General features: G+C 42.2%; 1 protein-coding gene across 6 annotated transcripts in view, besides 1 other annotated feature; it reads left to right on the forward strand.

Annotated features, from left to right (window-relative positions):
* Positions 1–16,713, forward strand: part of FRY (FRY microtubule binding protein) — a 267,352-nt gene that overhangs the window by 227,342 nt on the left and 23,297 nt on the right. For all 6 annotated transcript variants that reach the window (XM_047429999.1, NM_001411012.1, XM_047430000.1 and 3 more), the window contains 5 exons: positions 2,501–2,701; positions 3,199–3,360; positions 6,335–6,501; positions 8,055–8,244; positions 15,727–15,876. In XM_047429999.1, coding sequence (XP_047285955.1) covers positions 2,501–2,701; positions 3,199–3,360; positions 6,335–6,501; positions 8,055–8,244; positions 15,727–15,876 — 870 coding nt within the window. The remainder of the gene's footprint in view (positions 1–2,500; positions 2,702–3,198; positions 3,361–6,334; positions 6,502–8,054; positions 8,245–15,726; positions 15,877–16,713) is intronic.
* Positions 8,894–8,953: a silencer, noted in NCBI's record as "silent region_5246". NCBI's record gives its function as "represses an Ori minimal core promoter by ATAC-STARR-seq in GM12878 lymphoblastoid cells {active_cell/tissue: GM12878}" and the evidence as "EXISTENCE:reporter gene assay evidence [ECO:0000049][PMID:35858748]".

Here is a 16,713-nt window from a genome sequence, read left to right on the forward strand (position 1 = left end):
CACATGTAGGAAACTGCTTTGACTTTTCACTTTGTATGTAACATAAAATACAAATCTGACATTTGGGGGAGAGGAAGGATGGAGGGTGGGTCTCCCACTAGGGCCATGCTGAGAAAGCCTGGTTGAGTTTTAATCACCATGGACTTTACCTGGGTCCAGACTGCAATGTTGTTCCATCATCTCAACCTCTCAGCCACCACCAGGGGAACCATTTCAACACCCTTGCTTCTAATGGAGATATTACACCTTCCAGCAAGACAGCCAAACCTTATTCCTCCAAGAACAGCTTTCCCTGCCTCCCTATTTTCACACCTGATTGATTCAGGTCTTCACCAGAGCTGCCGCCAAATCAGCACTAGCAGTGACCTGTGCCTGGTATAGCCTTCTCCCACCTGGATGTCTGTATTCCTCTGCAAGCTCATGGTTCTGTCTCAAGTGCAGCGTGGGAGACCTCCAGAATCGCTGCCTAAGATAGTTCATCCAACCCTTCCAGTCATTTGGCACAAGAGAGTCAGTTTTTTGAATTTGTGTTTGTATATTTGTCCCTATAATTTTCACATTCTTCTCTTTTTACTCTGCATAGTTAGTATTCTGATTTTTCTGTATTTTCTTCCTTTCTTTACACATTGGATTTTCCTTTTCTTCCCAGAACTTTTGCCTCTTTCATATATTGTTTTATTTTCTCACTGCTGTGGCTATTTTTAAAATCCCAGTACAACAGTTAGCCATTTTCTACCAAAAAAAAAGAAAAAAACATATGGTGGTAATTTATCATAGCAGATACTGGATGTTAGAAACAATATTCTGAGTCTGCATTCTTTTTTATAATCAAACACCCCTAAGAGCAATCATAAATATCATATGTGAGGATGAATAATGATGATTTCTATATCTTATCCAGATTGTGCTTAGGATTTGTGCCTGTTGCCTTCTACCATGAATAGCCCAAGCAGACTTTGAAAAAGCTATGCCTCTGTTATATGACAGATCTGTGAGAATGGCAAGCTTGTTTCACTAGGAGACAGACACGACCCTCTGCTTTAAAACAGAGGGAAATTAATAAATGATAATGCTCATAAGTTTAACAGTAACTCACATCTCTCATATTATGTTGTTCACTGAGCTCTCATCAGAAAAAGTTGTTTTATTTTATTCCAATGAACCATCAGGCAGTGTTTCAAATTACCAGTAAATGAAAAGATTCTGTACTAGATTTTGTCAGATCATTTGTTTAGGTTAAAATTTGCATATCAGTCAGCTGAGTAATATTTTTCTTCCTTTATTCCTAACAGAAAGAAAAATAAAACCCAAATCCATTTCTAGAAAAAAAAAGTTATGTTAGTCAAATACACTTATTTATTAACTGATGGTTTGTAGAGAAAGTCTGAATGCAACTAAAAGCTTTCTTTAACACTTACATGGCCACTTAAGCTAGTTCTCGGTAATTCAAAATATACAAATCAACAATAATATTTGGGGCCGGGTGCAGTGGCTCACGCCTGTAATCTCAGCACTTTGGGAGGCCGAGGCGGGTGGATCACTTGAGGTCAAGAGTTCAAGACCAGCCTGGCAACATGGCAAAATCCTGTCTCTACTAAAAATACAAAAAATTAGCCTGACATGGAACCCAGAAGGTGGAGGTTGCCGCAAGCTGAGATCGCGCCACTGCACCACTCCAGCCTGGGCAACAGCAAGACTCTGTCTCAAAAGAAAAAAACAAAAAAACAGTAATAGGCTGGATGTGGTGGCTCACGCCTGTAATCCCAGCACTTTGGGAGGCCGAGGCAGGTGGATCATGAGGTCAGGTGATCAAGGCCAGTCTGGCCAACATAGTGAAATTAACAATTTTCTACACCGGGACAATTATTTAAAGATGAGCCTAAAGCAAAAGTTAAGGTGTTGCTGCTCTGGCCTCTGCATAGTGCATGATCCATCAGACTTTGCCCAGCTGCTCTGATAGTCTTTAACTCTGCATTGTATCTGTGAAAATTGCTGTGGCAGAAATAGGCTGGAATGTTTACCTAATGCTCTTCCACTAAATACCCAAAGGATTCTGGAATGTGCTACAAGCAGCATAGCTCCTACTTTTTTCTCCTTCTGAAAACAGTACTAAACAGGGGCCGACCTCAGGGTGGTGGGAGTGGGTGACACCTCTTTTGAAGTTTTCATACTAATGGTCTCTTTGTTACAGATTTTTGAAAACACAGATCATTGGTAGTGTTTACCAAAATCAACTTTTTAAAAAATGTAATTATTACCCACCATGCCAAAGAAAAGTATGTAATCATTTCTGCCTATGACTTCACATGAGTTTACATGAAAATAGTGTGCTTTTACTACTTTTCACATTGGGTAAACAAAAGTTTTGATACCAAAGTCGATGAGGGCCTAAGAGTTAATAATGACAATATTTGTTCCCAAGCTATGACTAATTGAATGTGTGAACATGTGAGTGCAAGAGGATTTTGGCATAAAAAACCGGCTGATGGTGTGATTTCAGGGTGAGAGTATGGACAATTTCAACTGGGGAGTGCGCAGACGTTCTCTGGACAGCCTGGATAAGTGTGATATGCAGATTCTGGAGGAGCGCCAACTGTCAGGAAGCACTCCTAGCCTGAATAAAATGCACCATGAGGACTCCGATGAATCATCCGAGGAGGAGGACCTCACAGCCAGCCAGATCCTGGAGCACTCAGACCTAGTAAGTAGCGGCTCTCCCACTCTAAGAATTGGGAGGCTTATTTTTTGTAACTAATGCAGGAGGACAGTTTCCAGTTGCAGCTAAGGAAACTTTCCACAGCTGCTGAACTAAAATCGGAACTGTCAGGTGGTGTCATACGGGTTCTAGCTGGCAGAGTCTTCTCTGTAGGTTGCAGATGGAAACAAAGACTGGGGTCCATGTGATTCACCCTGAAAGCCACCAGATCTGTTAAGGCCTAGATTTTTCCCAAATACCTTTTATGATTCTGGAATCTTTTTAAAAATTCCCCAGATCTCTAAAGTGTGGAGATATGACAGACATTTTGATGTGATTTTCTGAAAATACCTGGATTACTAGCTGCTATGTTTAAGGCCCAATAATGGTGAAATGTGGAAGTTAAAAAATTAAGACGTATTAACCAACAACTAGAGAATAAATGGAGCTTTTAAAGAATGGGAACTTCATACTATGTTTAATTTCCTTTGCTTTTTAAACAGATCATGACTCTCTCCCCCTCTGAAGAGACGAATCCCATGGAGCTGCTCACCACAGCCTGTGACTCGACCCCTGCAGAACCTCATTCCTTTAACACCAGAATGTCCAGCTTTGATGCTTCCTTGCCTGATATGAATAATCTGCAGATTTCTGAGGGTTCAAAGGTGAAGAGATTTTAACAATGATGATTTGTACTTCCCTTAAAACCCTTAAAAAAAAACACTTCCAATTTTCTGAGAATTCTTAAGGGGTCTCAAGTAGAAAGACTATCTTTATCTTTTTCTTTCTCTCTTTTTTAAAATAATAGAAGTTTGTGCACCTGAGCCTATGTTTTGAAGTTGTTTTACCCCCACAAACTTGAGCAGCCATCTTCTTGGCTGAAAGACTTGATTTGAGGTCTTTTTAAAATGAGACATTTTGCATGAACACTGCTGGTGGATGGCAAAACCAGTGGTGTATGTCTGAGATGGCTGTGACTGGGAAACTGCTGATCTTTGTCATGAATTTTATAAAACAATATGCTAAGTGAGGTGTGGGTGTATGCACATATTTGGGGAATTTTTTCCTTTGTAGGAAACAATTATACAATTTGTACATTGATTCAGTGCTTGCCTTTTGGCATACTATCAGAATTTTTAATGTCAATCACAGTCTTATGCCAGATTCGCACAAAACTCTTCTTGCCAGAGTCTGTGAGGAGAAAAGTAACTAATGGATGTAATTTTCTTAATTAGAAAAAATCTAACAGTGTATATTTCATTTAAAGTTTATTTTATTAAAATGTCCTGAAAACCATCCACTTGCATGCTATGCCCACATCTATGCCCATCAGTATAGAATTGTATTTCCTTATAGTAGAAATACCAAAATAATCTATTACCATTAAGATAGAGTCAAGCACTGTCTATCATGAGTTTGGTTATGGTTGTGCAAGTTCAAAAGAAAAAATAAAATCGAAAAAATTTCATAAAAGTATATTCCTTCTGACATTTCTAATGGAAAAATATAATATTGGCTATTCTATATTCTCTGATAGCATAGTAAAAATAGATCAGAAATCTAGGAAAATCTATGTGCTTTAAACCAAGGGCAATCACCAAATTACAATTACCTAAAAATATTGAAGCTTAAATAGTAATTATTTCTAAGATTGCCTCATTGCAAAGGTACTACAATCAGGATTCTTGGAATTAGCAGAGTTCTTTTTTAGCCAAAAGAAAAAAACAAAAAACAAAAAGCCCAGAAAGAAAAGTTGTCTAAGTTAAAATTCTAAGATTATGAAATTAAATTTCATAGAAAAAAATCACAAAATATATGTGCATTTGATATTTCTCAATGTCAATATGGTCATTTTCTCCATTTTTCTATTTTGAATGCTAAAAACATATAGATTTCTCATAGAAAGTGCTACCTAAGGCCAGGCGCTTTGGCTCACACCTGTAATCCCAGCACTTCGGGAGGCCGAGGCGGGTGGATCACGAGGTCAGGAGTTCAAGACCAGCCTGGCCAAGATGGTGAAACCCTGTCTCTACTAAAAACACAAAAAAATTAACCGGTCATGGTGGCGGTGCCCGTAATCCCAGCTACTCAGGAGGCTGAGGCAGAGAATTGCTTGAACCCGGGAAGCAGAGGTTGCAGGTAGCTGAGATCGCACCACTGCACTCCAGCCTGGGCGACAGAGCGAGACTCCATCTCGAAAAAAAAAAGTAATACCTACGTAATAGATCTCATCCTACCAAGGAAAAGTCGAGTCCCATTTCTGAAGAGCTATCCCTGTTTTTCACTTAAGTTGCATTTCTGCAGTGTTTGATAAAGCTATGATATTAGAGAAAATAAAATGTATTTTAATAAGGACTCATCCCTTCTCTAATGGATTAAGTGTATGTACACTAATAACCTAGACCAGGCACCAGTGGCCAGCCTCATTGGCAGCACTGTAGTTTTAAAAAGCAAATATGGATAAACCTCTCAAACTCAGTATTTACCAGCAATTCCTCCAAAGACATGAGATATCTTATTTCCCTAATATATTTTTACCATTCCTGGTAATTTTCCCTATTAATTCTAGAGTCAAAGTATAATATATATATTTTATATATATATTTACACACTGAGTGGACAGATGTTAACTTGAGATAAAGCTCTAATTCATATACACTTCTATTTTGCCTTGCTTTTGTTTTTGTTTTAAGAAAATGACTCACTGTAACATGTACATCTTTCTTCCTCTCCCTTCTGATCTGTAATCCAGTTGCCTTCCTTCCTCTCCTAAAGAACAATCAGTCCTCCTTTTCCCCCTGGCCCAGGCCCAAACCCAGCCTCTTTTTCCATTTTACTTGCTGTGTCTCTTTCCTGCCTCTCACTGATCCTGGTTCTGCCTGCCCTAGAGCCCTTTCATTGTCCTGCTCATTCCACATTTTGTAGTCAGGTAAGAGCAGATACTCATATCTGTTATCTGTGGAGGGTATTCTCAAGGGTAAAGCATACATGCAAATGGATCTTAGAGGATCCCCTATATGGAAAGACCGAGCAACCCAGCAGGCTCAGGGAAGGACTCTGGATCACTCGTGCATACCACAGGTATCCTGGGCATCTACTGCGCCAGGCCCTGATGATTCTACATTCCCTTGGTAAAGGGGTTCTATGTTAGAGAATTAACTCTGGATAGGCTTGCTTTAGAAGGCTGGGTTTGGACAATGGAAGGAGTTCTGAATCCAAAAGAAGTGTTTCTTGTCCCAGCTCCAATTCTAAGTATGGACCTGATATTAGACAAGTCCCTTTCCCACGTGGAGCATTGTTTCCTTATCTGCAAAATGTGGAGGTTGGATTGGAGGTCTTGATGGTCTTTTCCAAGTTTAGCGTTCATACCCTATAAGCATGGGCCAAGTACGAAAATCTACTGAGAGCCCCTTTGGGGACCATTATGGAAGAGATTGAAAAGAAGATAAAGAATGAACAGTACTTCAGAGAATTCCTGAGTCCAGCCTAGAAACGGACTATACTGTAGCTAGAAAACAAATGTCCCCATTTCTATCACCATCAGCATTTCAGTCTCTCTTATTTGTTCCTTAGTTGAACAGGTTGTCCTGTATGTTTTCTTACACATTGGGGGATTCTTTTGTCTTTTTATTCTTCCAGGCTGAAGCTGTTCGTGAGGAGGAGGACACCACCGTGCATGAGGATGATCTTTCTAGTTCCATCAATGAACTCCCAGCAGCTTTTGAATGCAGCGACAGCTTTAGCCTGGACATGACTGAGGGGGAAGAAAAAGGCAATCGGGCACTGGACCAGTTTACCCTGGCGAGGTAATGGAGCCCTTGGCTGATGTGAGTGGTGTGAATGTGCATGGTACATTATATGGCATTCACACTCAAGTTAAGTGTCACAGTTGCACTGCTGGGACATCCTAATAAAGGACTCCAAAGTGACATATATCATGGCAGGCTCTCAGCTGAGTTAGAGTCATCCAATCCCATTATAGGGCCTCGTGTGGAACAAAGAAAGAACACTTACATATGAATTCATAAGGCCAGAAAGCAACGTAAAAAGCAAAGGAAGAGCCTGGAAACATGGTCCAGACCTTGTAAGCTTTGAAGATAAGCAACACTTGGCAAGCCTTGGAAATAAGTTCTTTCCATTTGGAGTTAAAACCCTGGAACAAGAGGCTCTTTATATAGGAAATACCTACTCTTTAAGTGGGTGTCTTTTGGCCTGGTGGCTGATATTTCTGAGACTAGTGAGATATAGAAACAGAAAAAAAAAATGTGAAGAGAAATAGATAAACACCAGAGGTTAGATTAATCCAGCATCTAGAATAAATCACAAATAATAATGCTACAGATCTACTTCAGGAAAAGAAAGTTGAGATCCTAAAATTACTCTTCTGAAAGTTGAAAATAAGAACTAAGTAAAAGCTTCTGATATGCTAGACAAAGGCCTTCTGTTACAGTGAGCAATGTCTGTCCATCAAAGGAAAAGGTTAAGGTAACACCTAGAGAAGAATTTGACCTTTCATTTTTATTCATTATCTCTTCTTTCTTCCTGCCTCTCTGTCTCACTTTCCCTGCGTATCTCTGGTTTCCTTGTCTCCCTCCACCTTTGTCTTCCAGGCATTTGTGCATATGCATTTATTAATACTCTCCCTCCAGAAAGGAAAAATTAGAAGATTCAAAATTTATATAATTTTTCATAATGAAAAATGAAGAATGAAACTGCCAAAGCATAGGACTGTGGTTTACTTTGGGGCATAGCCTCTGTGAAAGTGAGAGGCATTGCTGAAGGCTAAAAGAAGTACCAAGTCTATAGAAAGGGAATCTGAAATGGAGGAATCCCAGAAATTCTAGAGGTGCAAATTCTCTTTCCTCGAATCGTGAAAGAATCCGTGACCTCTTGCCAGGTGCGGTGGCACACACCTGTAATCCTGCCACTTTGGGAGGCCGAACTGGGTGGATCACTTGAGGCCAGGAATTCAAGACCAGCCTGGCCAACATGGTGAAATACTGTCTCTACTAAAAATGCAAATATTTGCTGGGCATGGTAGCACACGCCTGTAGTCCCAGTTACTCTGGTGACTGAGGCACGAGAATTGCTTGAACCCACGAGGCAGAGGTTGCAGTGAGCCGAGATCATGCCACTGCACTCCAGCCTGGGCGACAGAGCGAGACTCAAAACAAACAAACAGACCAAAAAGAATCACAGTGACTGCTGAATGAAAGCCAAGTCCCCAAAGCAACTTCAAAAGGAAGAGTGGGTAGAATAGCTACCTCATTTTGCTGACTCTCAGGGTGAGAATTTATAAAACCCAGTATAGGATGAGAAGGACATCACTTCTTGACATAGTCGTTTTCATTTTTTCCAGCTTTGGAGAAGGTGACAGGGGAGTCTCTCCCCCTCCCTCGCCCTTCTTCTCAGCCATCCTTGCCGCCTTTCAGCCCGCAGCCTGTGACGATGCCGAGGAGGCCTGGCGCAGCCACATCAACCAGCTTATGTGTGACTCAGATGGCTCCTGTGCTGTGTATACATTTCATGTGTTCTCCTCCTTGTTTAAGGTATGTGTGCTCACTGAAAGTGCAGAGGACTTAGTTTCTAAGGGGAGCCGGGTAACTTTGAATTTAAGGAGAGGTTGTTCTTCTGTTCTGGGGTTATACTACTGTATTTTCTCCTCCAGACACCCCTAAATTTCCTCTGACTTTGAAATTTCTTCTATTTACCCTTAATCTTGTCATCCTTCTAAACATGGTATTGATGATTTAGGCTGCCATGAAGTACCTTTCATTCCTGCATCTCTTGGTGTTACTGACATCACCAGTCCTCAGCAGCCATGACATCAGGACCATTAAGGGAATCTTCTGCCAGGCCTATCCTCCATCCCACCCCCCTTTACCTCTCTTTTGTTTTTATTATTTTTATCTTTCCTTTCCTTGTCTTTTCTCATTTCCCACTCTATGAATTCCTTAGCATGCCAGCCATAGCTGTGAACACTTGTTTACTCCCTTGAGTTGCTTTTGAACAGATGAAAAGTCATTCTTGCTGTTGTAGCAGGTTGCTGTGCACTGCAGATTTCGTTTTATGAAATGGGAACATGCCGCCTACTTGGTAGCCCTTAAGAATCAGGCCAGTCTAACTACTGCCTCTCCCGTGTGAACCACAGCCCCACTGTCCATAGTGTCTTTGTGCAAACTGTAATGAATGTCCCTGCCTCCAGAGGAGTGCAGTACCACACCTAGCCAGCAGAGTGCAGGTGGGATTCCAACCCCACTTCCAATCCCTCAGCCAGACACCCTAGCATCTTGCACACAGCTCTCTGTGGCAGTCTCATGTGTGGGCACGCTTAAATCTCGCTTGTTACCTCATAACATACTTACAATGACTGCTTCCCATTAACTCCTCTATGCATCTTTCTGTAAACTTTTGTCCTCCAAATTTCATCAAATAATTGGCAGGGGGAGGAGGTGGCAAAAGAGAGAAACATGCCTTGCTGTGAAGAAACATCAGAGCTCTTTGAAGGCCATTGCAGTTAACTAGACCTATGTCTGAGCTTGAAGCAGATATTGACCGTGAAAATGGCAGTGCTGGGAATAATGAGGCCTGGAAGCTACGAAGATGAGGTTGTAGGGGAAGATTTGTTGATGTGGAACTATGGTTACCATATTATAGTTAAAGAGAAAGCTAGTTTAAAAAAAAAAAAAAAAAAAATATATATATATATATATATATATATATATATATCTAGATTAGTATTCCTTTTTTTAAAATGCCTAGAAAATAATGAAAATTATACACCAGAATATCATTGTATCTTTTCACGGTAATGATATTTGGGGTGTTTTTTATTTCCTTCTTTTTACTTTTTTTCAATTTCCTATTTTTTGGGGGGGTGGGGAGACAGAATCTTGTTCTGTCGCCCATGCTGGAGTGCAGTAGCATGATCTCAGCTCACTCTGCCTCCCAGGTTCAAGCGATTCTCCTGCCTCAGCCTCCCGAGTAGCTGGGATTACAGGCATGAGCCACCATGCCTGGCCAATTTCCTGTTTTTCTATAATAAAAAATGCTTTTCTTTCAGCATTTTCTTAAGCATATTTTTAATAACTCATTAGACAGAACTCCCACGGATAATGCAAAGGAAAAAAATGGAAAGGAACTATCTAGTTCCAACTTTGAATAGACTTGAATTTTGAATGAATGACCAGACAGAACAGTTAGAATCTAGTTAAACTTGTGTAGCTGTTGAGTTCTGTTGAGTAGCTCATGGAAGACGGACAATAATTTAGTTGGACTGAGGGAAGGAGCCCTCTAATCACCTTCAGGAAGAGCCATGGCCGACGGGAAAGGCAGGAAAATAAGGAATGATATATCAAAAGTGCAAAACTAAAATTATGTCCCTCTTAAATGGGTTGTTAAGAAGTCTTGGGGAGTAGGAGACTCCATAGGTAAATCTGCCTTAAAATATCATTTCAGCATTTCAGTAGCCAGTGTCACTTGACCTCAGTTCAGCTCTGAGGTCAATGGCATTGCAGCAGGTTGCTGTACATTGCAATTTCTTTTTATGGTATGGGAAGGTGCCTCCTGCTTAGTAACCCTTAAGAATCAGGCCAATCAGCCAGGCACAGTGGCTCACACCTGTAATCCCAACACTTTGGGAGGCCGAGGTGGGAGGACCACCTGAGGTCAGAAATTCGAGACCAGCCTGGCCAACATGGTGAAACCCCATCTCTACTAAGAATACAAAATTAGCCAGGCGTGATGGGGCACATACCTGTAATCCCAGCTACTCGGGAGGCTGAGGCAGGAGAATCACTTGAACCTGGGAGGCAGAGGTTGCAGTGAGCTGAGATCGCACCACTGCATTCCAGCCTGGGCAACAAAGTGAGACTCCATCTCCATTTTAAAAAAAAAAAAAGATAACTTATTAATCTGTTATTCTAGTGAGCAGAAGGTTAGGCAAAACTGAAATAATCTAAGTTAAATAATTTCAAATTCAGGATGACATATGTTTAGTTAACATAAAAGTGAACTCTGCTTTTGAGCCTGGAGGCCCTTCTTATAATCCATTTTTGGAGAATTATATACCAGTAGTGCAGATAGCTACTTGGACTAGCTCACTTGGAGTCTTACTTGTAGTGCTCTTTCAACTTCTTCAATTTACTCTAACTGAAAACCTAGTAGAAACTTGAATGGGTAAATTAATGTCATGTCTGAGATTAACTTGGGGCTGGAGGAGATGTTAGGCTTAAGACAGAAAACAATTGGCTGCTAAAAGATAAGAATTCTAGAAATACTTTAAACATTAAACCAGATTGAAATTTTAAGGCAAACTACCAGAAAGCTACTATTTGAGGTAAATTTAATGTTAAGGATTGAGAGGCAAAGCAACTTATTAGTTATATTTTTCTAAAAGCTTTTTTTTTTTTTTTGAGATGGAGTTTCACTCTTGTTGCCCAGGCTAGAGTGTAATGGCACGATCTCAGCTCACTGCAACTTCCACCTCCCAGGTTCAAGCGATTCTCCTGCCGCAGCCTCCCGAGTAGCTGGGATTATAGGCATGCACCACTACGCCCAGCTAATTTTGTATTTTTAGTAAAGACAAGGTTTCACCATGTTGGTCAGGCTGGTCTCAAACTCCTGACCTCAGGTGATCCACCTGCCTTGGCTTCCCAAAGTGCTGGGATTACAGGCATGCGCCACGGCGCCCGACCTCTAAAAGCTATTTTTAAAGAATGATTAATAATATATATTTAAGTTTGGCTGTTATGGTCATTTTTATTAGAGTTATTGGATTATTCATGCTTAATTTGACAGTCCTGCACAATACTTTCTCTCTGCCTAGAACGGTCATCTCCCCTTGTCCCTGGGCTACACTCCCAGTTACATTCAAAGCCCTGATTGGGTGTCACTTCAGTTAGTAAAGCCTTCTGTTACTTCTTTCTCCCTTCCCCTGGCATCTCGGGATTTTGTACTTGCATCCGTTACACTTGTGACTCTATATGATAATAACTTGTTTTGGTGTCTGTCTCCCGTGAAGAGGGCAGGTAAACAGTGCCTTGCTCACCTTGATTTCTGACAGTTTGCAACATACACTAGGTGCTCAGTAAATGTAGGAAGAATAAATGGAAACCTTAAACACACAGCTTCTAACTTCATGTCAGTAGACCAGCGGGTTCATTACCAAGACCGACAGGTCAGCCATGGCCCACAGCTGCGGCCACCATTCAGCCTGACTTCCTCTCCCACCTACCCAGATATGCAGGTAGCATGAGGAAGGCAGAAGGGAGGCTCTTTCTCCACCCTCTACCTGCCTGGCACCTGGCAACCCACCAGTTGAGATGCTGGTGAGACATAAAGAGAAAAGAGTTGTATGGGATGGTGATTTCCAGGTGGAAAAGGAGTACAGTGAAGTCAGACTAGCCTTTGAACCTACCTGTGTTCAAATCCCAGTTCTGGCCACTTACTAGCCTGCTAGGCCTGCAGACAGTCCTTAAGTTCTCCAAGCCTCAGTGTCCTCCATCATACAATGGAAGTGAAAACAGTGTCTATGAGTTTTATCTTTCAAAGACTACTTATGAGAGCTCACATGGAGAAACACCTCAAGCCATGCATCTAGCAAGCCGTCAGCACAGGCTGGCTGCTCCCATTTGGCTGCTCTTCCCTATGGTCATTGGCATGTTCTTTGTGGCCCTGGCCCCGCCACAGAGACTGGATCCTCTGGTGACAGTCCAGAAGTGACTGACTGCCCACCACAGAGAGTTCTGCAGCCCTGCCTGCACACCATGAGCCACCTCCACTGGGGACTCTCTAGCAACTTCTGAGAGAATACTCAGATTGCAGGAGAGAGACCTAAAGAGAACAAAGTGGCTATAGGAGTGAAAGGCCTCAGATATCCCATCCAATGTCCTCGCAGAAGATGACCCCTTCCCCTGAGAGGGGCTGATGTGCCATTTGTTGTCTGGTAACAGTTAACTCTCTAGGATCTTTCGCCACTCCAGCAGCAAGGCAGTGGGTTCAGGTTTCACAGCATCCACTGTCCAGAGAGCAAAGTGGTTGTGGAAAGAGGGAGAAGAAAGTACTAAAAATTAAAATGCAAATGAGCTGGAAGGTGGGGCCAGGCATGGGCCCTGGGGGGACTCATTTGGATTTGAATTTCTTTTTCATCAATATATTAAATCAATCACCCTATGGAGCTTATCTGCAATAATAATAATAATATAATAATTTTTTAAAATGCATACCTCCTATTTTGCTTTTTAATGTTACATTTATACTTGAGAACTTTCTCAACCCTGATCAGATGCTATATGAAAGTAATACTTGAAGCAAAATAGGCATTACTAAAATATGCTGGAAATGAAATACATTTCAGACCTGCTTTCTGCCTGTTATGAATCATTTGTCATTTCCTCACAATGTGTGTTTACTGTTTCCCAACATTTCCCTGTAAGTGTGAATACAATGTTTCCGTGTTAGGTTGGATTTTGGAAGAGGTAGGGAGGAGGTAACTGTGAAAATAATTTGGTTTTAAAAACAAGGGAATGGTTTCTGTCGGTACAGTATGGACATTTTTCCAAGTGTCTCAGTCATTGTGTTTTCTTCTTGTTACTCATATGTGAGAATGTCATCATCATGTGTCACATAATGTCACCAAATTATATAATGTGTGATGGAATTCACAAGAAAACAAAACTGAATTTACATCCCCTAAATGTCACTGGGTATGGTGGCACACGCCTGTGATACCAGCTACGTGAGAGGCTGAGGTGGGCAGATTGCTTGAGCCCAGGACTTTAATGCTACAGTGAGCCATGTTTGTGCCACTGTGCTCCAGCCTGAGTGACAGAGCAAGACCCCATCTCAAAAACAAAACAAAACAAAAAACATTGTGCACTAGAAGTTCAGGGGGGTAAAAGTGTTTTTTTGTTTGTTTGTTTTGGTTTTTGTTGGTTTTTTTTGAGACGGAGTCTTTCTCTGTTGCTCAGCCTGGAGTGCAGTAGCGCGATCTTGGCTCACTGCAACCTCCACCTCCCGGGTTCAAGCAATTCTCCTGCCTCAGCCTCCCAAGTAGCTGGGATTACAGGTACACACCACCGTGCCCAGCTAATTTTTTGGTATTTTTTTTTTTTTAGCAGAGACGGGGTTTCACCATGTTGGCCAGGCAGGTTTTGAACTCCTGACTTTGTGATCCTCCTGCCTCGGCCTCCCAAAAAAGTGTTCTTGTTTTGGCACTGACGCAGGCACAGTGAATCAGATTCTTCTTAATTGTGTTTTTTGTTTTTTGTTTTTCCCCTCAGGTAGTGTAGGAGGAGCAGTAACCTTAGGAAGCAATCGAGATTATGGAAAGATTGTAAACTTTGGAGTCAGACCCGTCCTTACTCATTCACTTACTAGTTGCATGACCTTAAGCGAGTCATTTAACTGTTCTTTTTTTTTTTTTTTTTTTGAGACGGAGTCTCGCTGTCGCCCAGGCTGGAGTGCAGTGGCGCAATCTCGGCTCACTGCAGGCTCCGCCCCCTGGGGTTCACGCCATTCTCCTGCCTCAGCCTCCCGAGTAGCTGGGACTACAGGCGCCCACCACCTCGCCCGGCTAATTTTTTGTATTTTTAGTAGAGACGGGGTTTCACCGTGTTAGCCAGGATGGTCTCGATCTCCTGACCTCGTGATCCACCCGCCTCGGCCTCCCAAAGTGCTGGGATTACAGGCGTGAGCCACCGCGCCCGGCCTAACTGTTCTTAACCTCAGATTGTTCATCCGGTGATGAGGATTAATGAGTGATGTACATTAAGCTCTAAGACAGAATTAGGCTCAGTTGAGACACCTGACCAGACGTGCCCTCAGAGCAAGAGAGGTCCCATTCAGCATTTACTACTTTACTCTTCAGAGGCTCAAATGCACAGTTTCCGTGCTGTCTCAAGGAGCTCTGATCTTGGGAAGCAGAAAAGAGTTACGCCTTTTGACCTTTTTCATCTTGTCCACATTGAAGTAATCTCTTTTCACCAGTCTGACAAACACGCAAGGAAAACTCAGACTCTGACTGGCACTAACCACAGCAAAAACAAAAACAGTGTTGGTCAAAAAGATTATACAGGCTGAGCATCCCAAATCCAAAAATCCAAAATGCTCTAAAATCTGAAACTTTTTGAGTGCCAATGTGACACTCAAAGGAAATGCTTAAGTGGTTATGTATCTGCAAGTATTTCATGTCTGAAAAAATCCAAAACCCGAAACCCTTCTGGTCCCAAGCATTTCAGATAAGGGATACTCAACCTGCACAAGCATCCACGCATTGGGAAATGGTATTTCAGGAAGAAATGTCCACACTGAATGATTACTTAGTTGATTTAACATAAACATTCATTCTGCTCCCCTCCCCCATTACCCTAAGGACCCATTCTCATGCGATATTTTTATAAAGATTTAAAAGTAGGGTTTTTTCCATTAATAATCGTGTATGATATTCTTGAAAATTGCTGAGAGTAGATTTTAAGTATTCTCACCACCAAAAAAAATGTGAGGCAATGCATGTTAATTAGCCCAATTTAGCCATTTCACAGCATACACATATTTTAAAACAACATGTTGTACACAGTAAACATATACAATTTTTATGTCAAGTAAAAAAATCAGGGCCAGACGCAGTGGCTCACACCTGTAATCCCAGCACTTTGGGAGGCCGAGGCGGGCGGATCACAAGGTCAGATCGAGACCATCCTGGCTAACACAGTGAAACCCCGTCTCTACTAAAAATACAAAAAATTAGCCAGGCGTGGTGGCAGGCACCTGTAGTCCCAGCTACTCGGGAGGCTGAGGCAGGAGAATGGCGTGAACCTGGGAGGGGGAGCTTGCAGTGAGCCGAGATCGCGCCACTGCACTCCAGCCTGGGCGACAGAGCGAGATTCTGTCTCAAAAAAAAAAAAAAAAAAAAAAAAAATCAGTTAATGTAATTGGAATATAAAAAAAGAAGCTACCCCTCCCCCAAAATATGTTTTATCATATATAAGTTTAACTTGACCTTTACAAATGGTCACTATTTTGCCTTGCAGAATATTCAGAAAAGGTTCTGCTTCCTAACCTGTGATGCAGCCAGTTACCTTGGAGATAACCTCCGGGGAATCGGATCCAAATTTGTCAGCTCTTCCCAGATGCTCACCTCCTGCTCTGAATGTCCTACACTTTTTGTGGATGCCGAGACTGTGAGTATCCCAGTCCTGCTCTGACAGTGAAGGGCCTACGCAACCTACAGTGCAGAACTTCAGGGTAGCATGTTTGCGCTGTGGTTTGTTTTAAAGATACCTTCTGGCCGGGTGCGGTGGCTCAAGCCTGTAATCCCAGCACTTTGGGAGGCCGAGGTGGGCGGATCACAAGGTCAGGAGATCGAGACCATCCTGGCTAACACGGTGAAACCCCGTATCTATTAAAAATACAAAAAAAAAAAAAAAATTAGCCGGGTGTAGTGGCAGGCGCCTGTAATCCCAGCTACTCGGGAGGCTGAGGCAGGAGAATGGCATGACCCCGGGGGGCAGAGCTTGCAGTGAGCCGAGATCACACCACTGCACTCCAGCCTGGGCGACAGAGCGAGACTCTGTCTCAAAAAATAAAAAAATAAAGATACCTTCAGTGTTGTGAGCAGCACTGTATTGTGATATGACTCTCAAAGGTCTGCAATATAAATACTGCATATGGCCAGTCCAGGCCAAGGCAGGGCTATTTCATAGAATAAGGAGAAAAATCCACCACCTCTGCTCCGTCTGCATCGTTGGCACTGATCTCTGATGACTCTGACTTTGACAGCTGTGCATATATGGTCAGATAACCTCCTGGAGCTGACCTAGCCGGTGCCCATGATGCCAGGTTGCCCAGTCGGATGGGTCTTCAGAGGCAACATGTCAATCAGTTTCCCCACCCCCAAGTCTCTAACAGAGAGTTATTGCCCTCTGGATTTGCCCAGCTCAAACTGCAAATGATGAGTTTAAGGGATAATCAAAACAGTCTCTGGCTGACGGTAATTCATGGCTTTACACATGGAACTC

Source organism: Homo sapiens, chromosome 13, assembly GCF_000001405.40.
Source record: "Homo sapiens chromosome 13, GRCh38.p14 Primary Assembly".
Taxonomy (NCBI): domain Eukaryota; kingdom Metazoa; phylum Chordata; class Mammalia; order Primates; family Hominidae; genus Homo; species Homo sapiens.